The sequence below is a fragment of the Homo sapiens genome, chromosome 13, assembly GCF_000001405.40.
Source record: "Homo sapiens chromosome 13, GRCh38.p14 Primary Assembly".
Lineage (NCBI taxonomy): Eukaryota > Metazoa > Chordata > Mammalia > Primates > Hominidae > Homo > Homo sapiens.
The window spans coordinates 99,084,811-99,097,126 of NC_000013.11; the positions used below are offsets into that span (position 1 = coordinate 99,084,811).

The 12,316-nt window shown below is 48.3% G+C and overlaps 1 protein-coding gene and 1 long non-coding RNA gene across 12 annotated transcripts in view, besides 7 other annotated features; one reads left to right on the top strand and one right to left on the bottom strand.

The window, feature by feature from the left end:
* The window catches only part of DOCK9 (dedicator of cytokinesis 9), a 295,191-nt gene extending 291,382 nt beyond the window's left edge, over positions 1–3,809 (bottom strand). For 10 of the 11 annotated variants that reach the window (XM_005254035.4, XM_006719937.4, NM_001318849.2 and 7 more), the window contains exon 1: positions 1,413–1,884. In XM_005254035.4, the coding sequence (XP_005254092.1) occupies positions 1,413–1,541 (129 nt within the window). In that variant the 5' untranslated portion in view covers positions 1,542–1,884. Of the gene's footprint in view, positions 1–1,412; positions 1,885–3,027 lie in introns of those variants that run through there. The other variant, XM_047430231.1, reaches the window with a different exon arrangement.
* Positions 1,245–1,724: a silencer, noted in NCBI's record as "silent region_5462". NCBI's record gives its function as "represses an Ori minimal core promoter by ATAC-STARR-seq in GM12878 lymphoblastoid cells {active_cell/tissue: GM12878}" and the evidence as "EXISTENCE:reporter gene assay evidence [ECO:0000049][PMID:35858748]".
* Positions 1,765–2,074: a silencer, noted in NCBI's record as "silent region_5463". NCBI's record gives its function as "represses an Ori minimal core promoter by ATAC-STARR-seq in GM12878 lymphoblastoid cells {active_cell/tissue: GM12878}" and the evidence as "EXISTENCE:reporter gene assay evidence [ECO:0000049][PMID:35858748]".
* Positions 1,765–2,476: a biological region, named in NCBI's record as "H3K27ac hESC enhancer GRCh37_chr13:99738979-99739540".
* On the top strand, positions 1,913–3,815 carry DOCK9-DT (DOCK9 divergent transcript). The gene has a single exon (NR_047482.1). It is a non-coding gene; the product is annotated as a DOCK9 divergent transcript (long non-coding RNA).
* Positions 1,915–2,476: an enhancer, noted in NCBI's record as "H3K27ac hESC enhancer chr13:99738979-99739540 (GRCh37/hg19 assembly coordinates)". NCBI's record gives its function as "activates a minimal SCP1, AML or CMV promoter by ChIP-STARR-seq in primed H9 embryonic stem cells {active_cell/tissue: H9 hESC(primed)}" and the evidence as "EXISTENCE:reporter gene assay evidence [ECO:0000049][PMID:30033119]".
* Positions 2,165–2,224: a silencer, noted in NCBI's record as "silent region_5464". NCBI's record gives its function as "represses an Ori minimal core promoter by ATAC-STARR-seq in GM12878 lymphoblastoid cells {active_cell/tissue: GM12878}" and the evidence as "EXISTENCE:reporter gene assay evidence [ECO:0000049][PMID:35858748]".
* Positions 2,805–3,034: a silencer, noted in NCBI's record as "silent region_5465". NCBI's record gives its function as "represses an Ori minimal core promoter by ATAC-STARR-seq in GM12878 lymphoblastoid cells {active_cell/tissue: GM12878}" and the evidence as "EXISTENCE:reporter gene assay evidence [ECO:0000049][PMID:35858748]".
* Positions 3,039–3,598: an enhancer, noted in NCBI's record as "H3K27ac hESC enhancer chr13:99740103-99740662 (GRCh37/hg19 assembly coordinates)". NCBI's record gives its function as "activates a minimal SCP1, AML or CMV promoter by ChIP-STARR-seq in primed H9 embryonic stem cells {active_cell/tissue: H9 hESC(primed)}" and the evidence as "EXISTENCE:reporter gene assay evidence [ECO:0000049][PMID:30033119]".
* Positions 3,816–12,316: the final 8,501 nt, after the last annotated feature.

The window sequence follows — 12,316 nt, forward strand, 5'->3', positions numbered from 1 at the left end:
CCAAAGAAGTTGCAGGCTTTATCCTTAACATGCACTGGCAAAACTCAGGAAGATGCAGGAAGCCACACAGAAGTTAGCTGGTTATGGAAGAGATGGCCAGGTTCTGGTCTATTCCCAACTCCTGCTCTACTCCTTACCTAATCGACTTCCCTAAAATAGAAAAATTAAATCCTTGTTTACTATGGATCAAACTGGAGTTGGAGAAATTTGGAGTTGGCAGAGCTAGCAATCGAGAGAAAATTCAAACTGAGCAAACTGGATATAGAAATCAGCGAAGCTTCATCTCCAATCTCCACAAACGTCATTCACGCAATTCTGTGTCTGCCCAGGAAGGGCATCGATCTGCCACCAAAATGATGCATCCGCCCCTGTGTTAAGGGGCCCGGCACTCTGCCCCGACAATCCCCCACAGGGCCCAGACAACCACTTCCAAGGCCCATCTTCTTGCACTGTTCCAACAAACACAAGTCACACCCACCCACAAACAAGCCCGTTTCAAGAAAACAAATGCCGGCGGCAACGCAAGGAGCTGCTAAAAGTTTCCAGCTGCCCTGCAGAGCTCGCTCCTGCTCAAACGTCGCTCCACTCCCGCACCATCCAGGTGAATCGGGTTGTAGTGCGTTTCCAAATACAGCAGGACCGGCGCTGGCTGTGAAAAAGTTAATCGAAAACTTCATCTTCCTCACACCCAGAGGCCTATTCTCTAAAGACGTTCTGCCACGGGAAGATTCGTTTTGGGCTGATGGCTTTGCTTACTTAGAACCCCCAAACGTCACAGGAATTTGCACCAATACTAAATTAGCGAGGGTTCCCATCATGCCCCCCAAGCCTTCCTAAAAGGCGGCCAAACTTCAGGATACCGGCTTGGAGGTGGGGGGCGCAGGAGAGGATGCCGAAGTCCTTCCCTCCTGGAGTTCAGCCAACTCAAAGGGTTAGCAGGGGCATCTCCCACCCTGAGCGCAGACTGGATGAGGAAGCCCCCACCTCAATTCCCCTGCGCCCCTCCAAAACATGGAAGGAGAGGGAGGCCGGGGGAGGGATACGGGGGAGGGATGCGGGGGAGGGGGGAGAGTGTAATTTCCCAGTTGACAGAAAGCAGGTAAATTGGGAGAGAGCGGGGTGAAAAGAGTGACAGGGCGACATCACTCTGCGGAAATTTCCCAGGAGGAAGGGGACAGCGATGGGGACAGGATCTTGGGTGGCGGGGAGGGGTCTGGGAGTTGCAGCCCCTCCAGGACCTTCTCTTCTCCCCTGTCCAACTCCCTCCCGCCGGCCCCACCTCTTGATTCCGCGGACCCAGCAGGGTCGGCCGCTCTGCCTCAGCCCTGCCGACTAAGAGGCGCCCGGCCCGGGGCCCGCAGCTGCCTGCGCCCCCGCCATCCTCCCCCGGCCCGCGGTCGTCCCGCACTCACCAGGAGCACGGAGCCGCGCACCACCTCAGACACGCTCTGCCGCAGCTCGGCCGCCGTGCCCGGCTTACTCAGCGCCCGGGTGAACTTCCGAGTCTCCGCCGAGGCGGGGAGCAGCGGCGGCTGCGACATCCTCCTGCCCCCGCCGCCTCCGCCTCCGCCTGCTCCCGCGGCCCGGCCCGGCCGCGCGGCCGCCAGGTGCGCCCTCGGCGCCCGGCCCGCTCCGCCCGCCGCTCCCGGCGCCGCCGCCGCCTGCTCCCCCCGCTGCTCGCCGCGAGTCCGGCCGCCGCAGCCCAGGCCGCGCCCTCTGCACCGTGTCACGCCCCAAGGCGCCCCCCTCGGCGTCCGCGGCCCCCCGCGATCGCAGCAGCGCCCGGGCTCGCTCCGGGCGACCGTGCGTGTGGCGGCGGCGGCTCCCCCATGCCACCAGCCTCCCTCGGCGACCACTCGCCGGGCCGCCTCCTCGGGGCGGGGTGTCCGGCGCGGCGCGGGCGGGGCGGGGCGCCCGGACGGCGGAGGAGGGGCCGCCGCGGCGGGACGGCGGGCCAGGCAGGTCGGCGCGGCCCGGCGCTGGAGCTAGGCGGCCGGACTGGCAGGGGCGGCGTGCCGCGCGGGACCCTCACTGGGGAAGGTGGGGGGTCGGGGCCGCCTCCGCCCCGGGCCGCACGTCCGAAGACCGGAGGAGGGGACTGCGCACGCCACCAAGAGGGCGCACAGCCGAGGCTGGACGATGCGCGGTTTCGGAGCAGGGTTTCCTGCCCAGGGAGCCCGGCTGCGCTCGAGGGGACCCCGAAGTCACCGGCAGGGTCGGAGCTCGGTGCACCACGCCCCCCCTCTGCGCCCGGGGCCTCTGCGGGGACAGAGGTCTCAGGAAAGTAGCCTTTATTTATGTGGCACCGATCGGAACCCGCGGCCGGCCAGGCGGACCTGGACGGAGCGTCCCTGCTCGGAACCTGGCGCGGGGCGCCGCGCGCTCGTGTGGCGCCTCGGCCTCCCCACCGTTCAGTCCCCGGAGGCACGGAGCTCGCGGCGGGACGATGACGGTTGGGCCGGGCCAGGCGTGGGAGACTCCCAGACTCCGGCCCGCCGGGACGGCCAGCTGCGTCACCTTGGACGTGGGCAATACTTCGGAGCCTCGGTTATGTCGCCTGTAACCTGAGGACAACGGCCTGGAAGGGGCTCAGGTGACACGGCGGCCCTCACTGGGGCCGATTTAGCCGGTCTGCCGCCCCTCCGCGCCGGACCGCCAGGCGGGGTACCAGGGAAACTGCGATGCGCCGGCTTGCGAGCCCACCGTGACGCAGAGCTGGCGGCCGCTAGCGACAGCCACCCTGTGAGGGACTTTCCCCCCAATACCCTAACCGCTTTCCTGTCCCTAAGGGCCCGCTCCCGCCCCGGCTCCGTTTCTGTCTCTCTGAGGAAGCCCGGCGCAGCCTAACCCTCACAGGGCCGCGGAGAGGGCGCGCCAGGCGGGGATTTGCGCCAGGCCCGCGGCGCATGCTCAGTGGTTGGGGACTGGGCGGGTACCCCGGGCGGGGAGCCTGACTGAACGGCGGCTCTGCTGATTGGTCGGGCTGCTCACGCCACGCCCGTTGCCTTCCGATGGACAGTTCCTTACCTGCCGGGTCGGCCTCCGCAGAGAGTGGTGGTCTTGAAAACCCAGTTTTGGGAGAATACCTGCCGCGCCTCCCGCCCAAATACCCAGAGGTTTCATAGCCGCCATCGCTGCGGTGGAGGAGGCCGCCTGTTGCGTCCCACCCCACCAGAAAGCCTAACACTGGCCTGAAGCGTAATCTTAAAGTGGTAGGGGAAAATACCGATCTAGCGCAGAGAGCAAAACACCTCCGTTCTGGGTTTAATGGGCAGGTCTGGAGGTGAGGTATGCCGTCCGCACTCAATAATTACTTGCAGGATCGGATTGTTTCTCCAGTGGGTGGGGACTGCAGGATGTAGCATTGAGTGAGCCTGGCAGATTGAAAGATAAAACAAGGGTGATGATAAAAACAATTACACACTAACCCATTTCCTCCTCCGTGAAATGAGGGAATGGCCCAGACATTTTCCAGACCTCTTCTGTCCTAAGAGTGGAGCTGGGTGACAGAGCAGGTGCAAGCCGGCCTTTCCCTGCCTCCCCGGGGAACGCACTCTGTTCGGTGAGAGCAACTCAGCTCGCATTGACTCCTTTCAGCTGCAGGAGTGTGGCCGTTCAGTTCTCATTTGAACTGTTGACAACAGTTGTCTTCTGAGAATCATGAGTTAGAGCCTCCCTTTAGGCTTCTGACTCCCTCAAAAGTACCAGACAACACAAACTTTTCCCCTCTTGTTACCTTGGCTCTCTAAGCTGTATCTACTTCTATACAAGGCGAACAATTTTGTCTTTTTAAATTAAAAACAACAACAAAAGCACCTAAGGTTGTAGGGTTTTATATTCTTTTTTCTTTTCTTTTTTTAAGAGCTATATGATTACAGTAGAGTGTGTGTGTGTGTGTGTGTGTGTGTGTGTGTGTGTAGTCTAAAGAACAAAATTTCAACAAATGGTTTTAAAGATCTAATTGGCTTCTATTAGCAATGCATGAACCAGGCAGCATTCTGACTACAAAATAGACGGGAGCTCTTGTGGGAATGGAAGAACAGCTGGGTTTTGTTAAGGTAACTTAAGCAGGAACAAGGGAAAAGCATAGTGCCGAAAGCACATCGGGTAACTTCAGGTTACTCTCCTTTATGGGTTAAAGCAGAGGGGGCTGCCTTAGCTGGCTCAGGCTGACTGGGCCCCGTTTGACTGGTTGCTGTGAATCTCCTGGTTTTTGGAAAACTGGCCCTTTTGGGGATTTTCCTGTTTTTTAAAATCTCTGTTTAGTTACGTGGCACCTAACACAGTGGCTTCATTTTAGTCTGGTCTGTTGGGGCCTAGTTCAGGAGCTCAGTCCAAGACAATGACCTACCATAAATTTTATTTAAATATATGTATATCTGGAAAGTGAAGAATTCCCCAAACCTACCAATTTTATCCATATCTCTACCACTCCTAAATTCTGTACTTACTTGCTGATTCAGTATATTCTAGAATTGGCAGATTTTCATTTAGGAAGCAGAGAACAACAGACAATGTGCCAACAGTAGTCACTGGCAATGTCTAACCAAGCACAGGTTCTGACAGACAAGGCGGCATGGAAACGTGAACTAAGCCCAGGAAGATGGACCCAGCAACCCAGAGTGGAGCCTCTTCTTCCTGGTGAAGTGCTGTTGATAACAAATGGGACATTCCTAGTGTTAAAGTTTCAGCAGAAACTTGGTCCCTACTGTTCTGGGTTGAATTGTAGTCCCCCAAAAGATATATTGAAGTTCCAAACCCAGTACCTGTGAATGTGGCCTTATTGGAAATAGGTCTTTGCACATGTAACCAACTTAAGGTGAGGTCCTACTGGAATAGGTGGGCCCTAATTCAGTATGAATGGTTGTTTGTTTGTTTGTTTGTTTGTTTGTTTTGACAGAGCCTCACTCTGTTGCCCAGGCTGGAGTGCTGTGGTGCAGTCTCAGCTCACTGCAGCCTCTGCCTCCCAGGAGGCTGGGATTACAGGCACCTGTCACCACACCTGGCTAATTTTTTGTATTTTTAGTAGAGAAGGGGTTTTGCCATGTTGGCCAGGCTGAGGTCAGGTCGAACTCCTGACCTCAGGTGATCCGCCCATCTCAGCCTCCCAAGGTGCTGGGATTACAGGCGTGAGCCACCACGCCCAGCCTGAATGGTGTCTTTATAAGAAGAGACACAAATACATACACAAAGGAAAAATACTATGTGACAACAAAGGTAGGAAGGAGAATACTGCACACCTGCAAGCCACAGAACAGCAAGGATCACTGGGAACCACCAGAAACTGGAAGAGGCAAGGAAGGATTCTTCCCTAAAGTCATCAGAGGGAGCATGGCCTGCTGACACCTTGACTTCAGAATTCTAGCCTCTAGAACAGTGACAGAAGAAATTCTGTTGTTTTAAGTTTGTGGAACTTTTACAGCAGTCCTGGGAAACCAACATGCTGGCCAAAGGCTATTTTTAAAATTTCCACCAGAGTGGGCCTGGAATTGTGTGAATTCTTTTGGCATCACTATTTCCTGGAGAGCAGTCATACCTACAGAGGGGCAGAGCATCAGCCCAAAAGAGGGTGCTACCTGGCTACCTGGGATGAGGCTGACCTCTGGCTGGACTGGGTGGATGGTGTCTCAGGTACGGTAGAAGATACATCCACCTACATTAGCTTGATGGAGTAACCTCATCTTTGTTTTTCCAAACTATAGGAAGAAAGCTTTTCTTTCTGTTGAAAATTATACTAGTAGGTAGTGGAGATGAAATATAATTGCAGCCAGTTCTGAAATTTGCATGTAAATGACTGTACTACACCCAAATTTATAATTCAAGCATTACTCATGTTTAATGATAACCTCTTACTACATCATTTCCTTGTTAAGTTTGCTTTAGGATTTGTATGTGTCTTAATAACATATAATTAGTTTAAAATCTTTTCTGGATATATCTTGAAAGAGTATATCTGTTTTTAGCAAAAATAACAAGTGACCCATAAAAAGGAGGCACTCCTGTGCACTGTCACAGGGAAGTGTGAAAGGGGACTTTCGTTCTTTATTTTATCCTTGCACTGATTGAATTTTATTTATTTATTTATTTTGAGACAGATTATTGCTCTGTTGTCCAGGAAGGAGAGCAGTGGTGCCATCATAGCTCGCTGCAGCCTTGAACTCCTGGGCTCAAGCAATCCTCCCACCTCACCCTGCCAAGTAGCTCAGAGGACAGGTGCATGCCACCACGCCCACCTAATTTTTTTTACTATTTGTTGATACAGGGTCTCACTATGTTGCCCAGGCTGGTATCAAACTTCTGAGCTCAAGTGATCCTCCTACCTTGACCTCCCAAAGTTCTGGGATTATAGGTGTAAGCCACCGTGCCCGGCCTGACTGAATTTTTTTAATGAACATTCACTACCTTTATACTTCATTTATTAGGTTGGTGCAAAAGTAATTGCATCTTTTATTTCAGTGGCAAAAACTGCAATTACTTTTGCACCAACCTAAAAACTTTTTTTTTTTTTACAAATTTGTTTTTTGAAATTAATCAACTCATGCTTAGAAGTAGGCTCTTGTTTATTCCGCTAGGTAACATAAGTAGAAAACACATCTCTTCAAGACAGAGCATCTGGGAAAGGTATTACAATTAATCTAACACATGTTTCCAGATACCACTTAGGGTTCATGTTACTGGAAGAATGTAATCCCCTCTTTCACTTCTGTTTTACTTAGGAGACATTCTTAGAGGAAATGGAATATGAGGTCTTTAAGAGATAGCTGAGACGAGGGCATGTCGCATTTTATTATGTGTATAAGTCACCTGTGGATCTTGTTAAAATGCAATTCTGATTGAGATGGTCAGCTGTGGTGCCCAAGAGCCTACAGGGCTAACAAATTCCAGGTGATGTCAAGCTCCTAAATCAGATGCTGCTCACCTACAGACCACGCCTGGAGTAGCAGACAGTTTGACTTCACTGCAGGCTCTTGAAGATTCTCCAGCTGACTCAAAATTTAAGCAGGAAGGCGGCCAAACAATAGGAAAACGGGCAAAACTCATGACCAAACAATTCACAGAAAAGATATAAAATGGCTGGTAAACATATGAAAAGGTGTTTGACCTCATTTATGATGTAAGAAATGCAAATGAAAACTACACTGATATACAATTTCTCACCAAATTGGAAAAATTATAAGGTATCACACTTTATGTGGAAAGGCTATTGGGAAACAGGCACTGTCACACATTGCTGGTAGAGATGCAAGGTGACACAACTGCTATGCAGTAGAATATGGCAATATCTGACAACACAATGTATGCATTTGCCGTTTGTGCCAGCAATCCCACTACTAGGAATTTTCTGTGAAAATACACCTTAAAAAAAGGAAAATATTATGCACCAAGTTATTCATTGAAGCATTATTTATAATGGCAAAATATTGGAAAATATCTAAATACCCAAATATTGGAGATAGAGCCAATGTGGTACATGCACACAAAGATATTATTCAACTGAGAAAATGAATGAGAAAGATACCTATTAATATATGTGAAATGATTGTCAGGATATGTTGTTTTAAAAAGCAAAAAAAAAAAAAAAAGAAAAAAGCAACTGAACTATGCTGTCTTTAGGTAAAAAATAAGGGAAAGTATGCTAGTATCTGCTTATTTCTACCAAACTCCCCCAACCCACACAGGAAGGATAGCTAGAGATTACTAAGTTTGTCACCTTCAAACGTTAGGTGGGAACAAAGCAGAAAGAAGAGGAGGAATGGGGAACACAGGTTGAGTGATATTTCTCTGAATACAATTTTCTGTACCGTTCTTTTTGATGTTAATGTTTTACATATTCAAAAAAATAATAAGGCAGAACATAAAATTAACAAGAATAAAGAAAACTCGGCCGGGCGCGGTGGCTCACGCCTGTAATCCTAGCACTTTGGGAGGCCGAGGCGGGTGGATCACCTGAGGTCAGGAGTTCAAGACCATCTTGGCCAACATGGTGAAACCCTGCCTCTACTAAAAATACAAAAATTAGCTGGGCATGGTGGCACACACCTGTAATCCCAGCTACTTGAGAGGCTGAAGCAGGAGAATCGCTTTAACCCAGAAGGCGGAGCTTGCAGTGAACCCAGATCGCGCCACTGCACTCCAGCCTGGCGACAGACAAAGACTCCGTCTCAAGAAAAAAAAAAGAAAACTCTAAAATGGAATACAAATAAACACATGGACAGACCTATATAATCATAATGTAACCACACTGAAGTCAAAACATTTTTTAAAGAACAAACCCCAGTAACTTTGAACAAAGCATATGAACTATATGCCATTAGATCTTTAACCTAAAGAACTCTAAACAGTATTGAACTCTGGTAAACTGGCTGTTTTTGTTTGTTTGTTTGATGGATTTGCAGATGTATGGACTAGACATTCTGAAATGAATTTCTGTATATTTCAAGATTGAGAAAATAAGTAATATATTCTTCGTAATGGGAAGTGGGTTTCTCACTGTCAGAGAAAGGATTTAAAAATATGGAAGGAAGAAGGAAAGAATAAACCCTGTGGTGTTGGATTGGCTCTGGGGATATCAGTATAAACTCATGAGTTTTAATAGATAGATGACAGAGAGAGACAGAAAGAGAGAGAGATAGGTCCATACATATCACATCAGTGGTATGCCACTGGCCTGTACCAGCTCAGTTTTCAAGAATTTTGCAGCAGGCTGGCCAGGCGCAGTGGCTAACGCCTGTAACCCCAGCATTTTGGGAGGCTGAGGTGGGCAGGTCACGAGGTCAAGAGATCGAGACCATCCTGGCTAACACGGTGAAACCCCATCTCTACTAAAAAAATATGAAAAGTTAGCCGGGCGTGGCGGTGTGCGCCTGCAGTCCCAGCTACTCGGGAGGCTGAGACAGGAGAATGGTGTGAACCCGGGGGGCCGAACTTGCAGTGAGCCAAGATCGCCCCACTGCATTCCAACCTGGGTGACAGAGTGACACTCCTCTCAAAAAAAAAATAAATTAATTAAATAAAATAAGAATTCTGCAGCAGGCTGATATTAAACTGACTTTTAGATTGACAAGGATGGGAGTATTATCACCAAGGAAATTGGTAAATGCTACAAATCAGGGACTTTTTTTTCCCCCAGAGAGCCTACTGTTGAACATTCATCAGCACACTACTGTGTGTGTATGTGTGTGTGTACATACATGTATTTTCTAGTTCCATCCACTAAAATGTCCTATGAGCAGTCACTTTCATAGTAATGAGTACATCTAGCACTTAGAACTTGCTTTCCAAGTAGCAATCTCCAATAAAAGGAGCCAAGGCTTCCCAAACAAAGAGTTGATTTCAGAACTGGGGTGGGGAAAGTTCAAGACAATCCTGCAACATCTTAGCCAAACATGCTAGAACACAGCCTGGGCAGGTGTCCTGACTGTGCTAAGTCCAGTGCTTCCCAGAATGCATGGCCCTGCCCAGTGACTCCCCAGAGGGCTTTTGTACGCTCTCAGTGAAGCTGAAGCCCATCATGACCCAGAGACTCTGTTTAGCTTGTTCGCTCCTGGGACCTTCCACCTAAGAGTGCCAATATTGCCGTACACAGCTCAGTGTGTGCTCCCTACTTCATTTTTAGAATAATCACCATTAAGTTACATGTATATGTAAATAGTTCTTGACAAAATAAAATATTTAATTGAGAAAATTCAACAAACAGGTTAAAATCAGAGTGGGGCAGCTAAAGAAAGAACTAGTAAAAATAAAAGACAGATCAGAAGGAATAATGCATGGGTAGATGCAGAAGTTCACCACCTAGGTCCCCCTGCAAGGAAAAGCTTGTTGCCCAGGAAGTAAAAAGGACAGCCTCGACTGCCAGCTCCATCAGGATCTGCCTCTGCTTCTGCTGCAGAAAGCACCTCACCAGTAATCACATACTTGCCAGGGAAGCTCACACTGAGTGAAGGAATAAAGTAGGAGCTGGAAGTTGTGGCGGTTTCAGGCTGATGTGGGAAAACTCTGATAGACGATATTGATTCCAAAGCTCTCTGGTTGGTGGGCAAGTGTTTTGTCAAGCCTGCATCACTGTTCAACTTCTCTCTCTGCACACACCTGGATCCTCCTCTTTCCCTTCACAGGTGTTGATTCCTAATAAACATCACCCCAAAGTTGCACCCCAAACTTCATCTCAGCATCTGTTTATGGAGAACCCAGTCTGCAACAATCCAGAATGCAGGACAGAGAATCAGATGGAAGATATGAGGAAGGAGTTGAAAGAAATGGAGGAAAAGTGAAAAAAATCTAACATGAAATAGTAAGAGAGAGAAATAAGAGGAAATCCATACATACCTAGATGCATCATAATGAATCTGCAGAACCAAAGAGAAGATCATGAATATAAAGACAGACTGCTCACAAAGATAAATGACAGACAGCTCAACATCAGTGAAAGCTAGAAAACAATGGAATAGGCCAGGCGCAGTGGCTCATGCCTGTAATCCCAGCACTTTGGGAGGCTGAGGTGGGTGGATCACCTGAGGGTCAGGAGTTCGAGACCAGCCTGGCCAACATGATGAAACCCCGTCTCTACTAAAAATACAAAAATTAGCCGGGCGTGGTGGCAGATGCCTGTAATCCCAGGTACTCAGAAGGCTGAGGCACGACAATTGCTTGAACCTGGGAGGCAGAGGTTGCCGTGAGCCAAAATTGCACCACTGCCCTCCAGCCTGGGCAACAGAGCAAGACTGTCTCAAAAAAAAAAAAAAAGAAAAGAAAAGAAAAAAGAAAAAGAAAATAGTGCACAACACCAATGTGCAGACAGATAATACCTGCCAAGCAAGAATGTTATGCTGAGTAAAACTACCTCTCAAGAATGAAGGCAAAATAAAGATATTTTCAGAAAAAATTTTTTGCTATCAAAGAGAGGTCACAAAATGACTTTTAAAGAAGGCACCTTAGTGAAAATTCCTAGAAAGATGCAAACTGTCAACTTGGTATGTAGGAGAAATAGAAAATCTGAATAGACCTTTAACAGGTAGTGATTGCATTAATATTGCAAAACTTTCCACAAAGACCTAACATGGTCTTGTTTATAGAAAAGCCTAAGGAATCCACAAAAAGACTACTAAAGCTAATAAACAAGTTCAGCAAGGTTGTAAGATACAAGACTAATATGCAAAAATCAACTTTATTTTTATACACTAGCAAAGAATAATCTAAAAAATGGAATTAGAAAAACAGCTGTTTACAATAGCATCAAAAAGAATAAAATACTTGGGACTAAATTTAACAAAATAAATTCAACATTGTACACTGAAAACCACAAAACATAGTTGAAAGAAATTAAATAAAACCTAAATAAGTAAAAGACACACTGTAATATTGGATTGCAAGACTTAATATTATTAAGATGACAATACTCCCCAAATTGACATATAAATTCAACATAATCCCTATTAAAATCCCAGTTGTCTTTTTTTGCTGCTGATGAGCTGATCCTAAAATTCATATGGAGATGCAAGGAACTCAAAATACCCAACACCGTCCTGAAAATAAGAATAAAGTTGGCCAGGCACAGTGGTTTGCACCTGTAATCCCAGCACTTGGGAGGCTGAGGCAGGAGGATCATCTGAGGCCAGGAGTTTGAGACCAGCCCAAGCAACATAGTGAGAACTTGTCTTCATTTTTAAAAAATAAAAATTTGCGCCGGGTGCAGTGGCTCACGCCTGTAATCCCAGCACTTTGGGAGGCCGAGGTGGGCGGATCAGAGGTCAGGAGATCGAGACCATCCTGGCTAACATGGTGAAACCCCATCTCTGCTAAAAATACAAAAAGTTAGCTGGGCGTAGTGGTGGGTGCCTGTAGTCCCAGCTGCTCTGGAGGCTGAGGCAGGAGAATGGCATGAACCCGGGAGGCGGAGCTTGCAGTGAGCTGAGATAGTGCCACTCTGCACTCCAGCCTGGGCAACAGAGCGAGACTCTGTCTCAAAAAAAAAAAATTAAAAATTAAAAAAAATAAAAGCACAATTGGAGGACTCAGCCAGGCGTGGTGGCTCACACCTGTAATCCCAGTAATTTCAGAGGCCAAAGCAGGTGAATGGCTTGAGCTCAGGAGTTCAAGACCAGTCTGGGCAACATGGCAAAACTCTGTTTCTACAAAAAAAAGACAAAAAAAATTAGCTGGGCGTGGTGGCACATGCCTGCAGTCCCAGCTACTTGGGGGACTGATGTGGGAGGATCACTTGAGTCCAGGGGGTCGAGGCTGCAGTTTGCCATTAGGGGACTCAAACTTCCTTCCCTATGTCACAACTTGGTACAAAGCTACAATAAACTAAACTGTG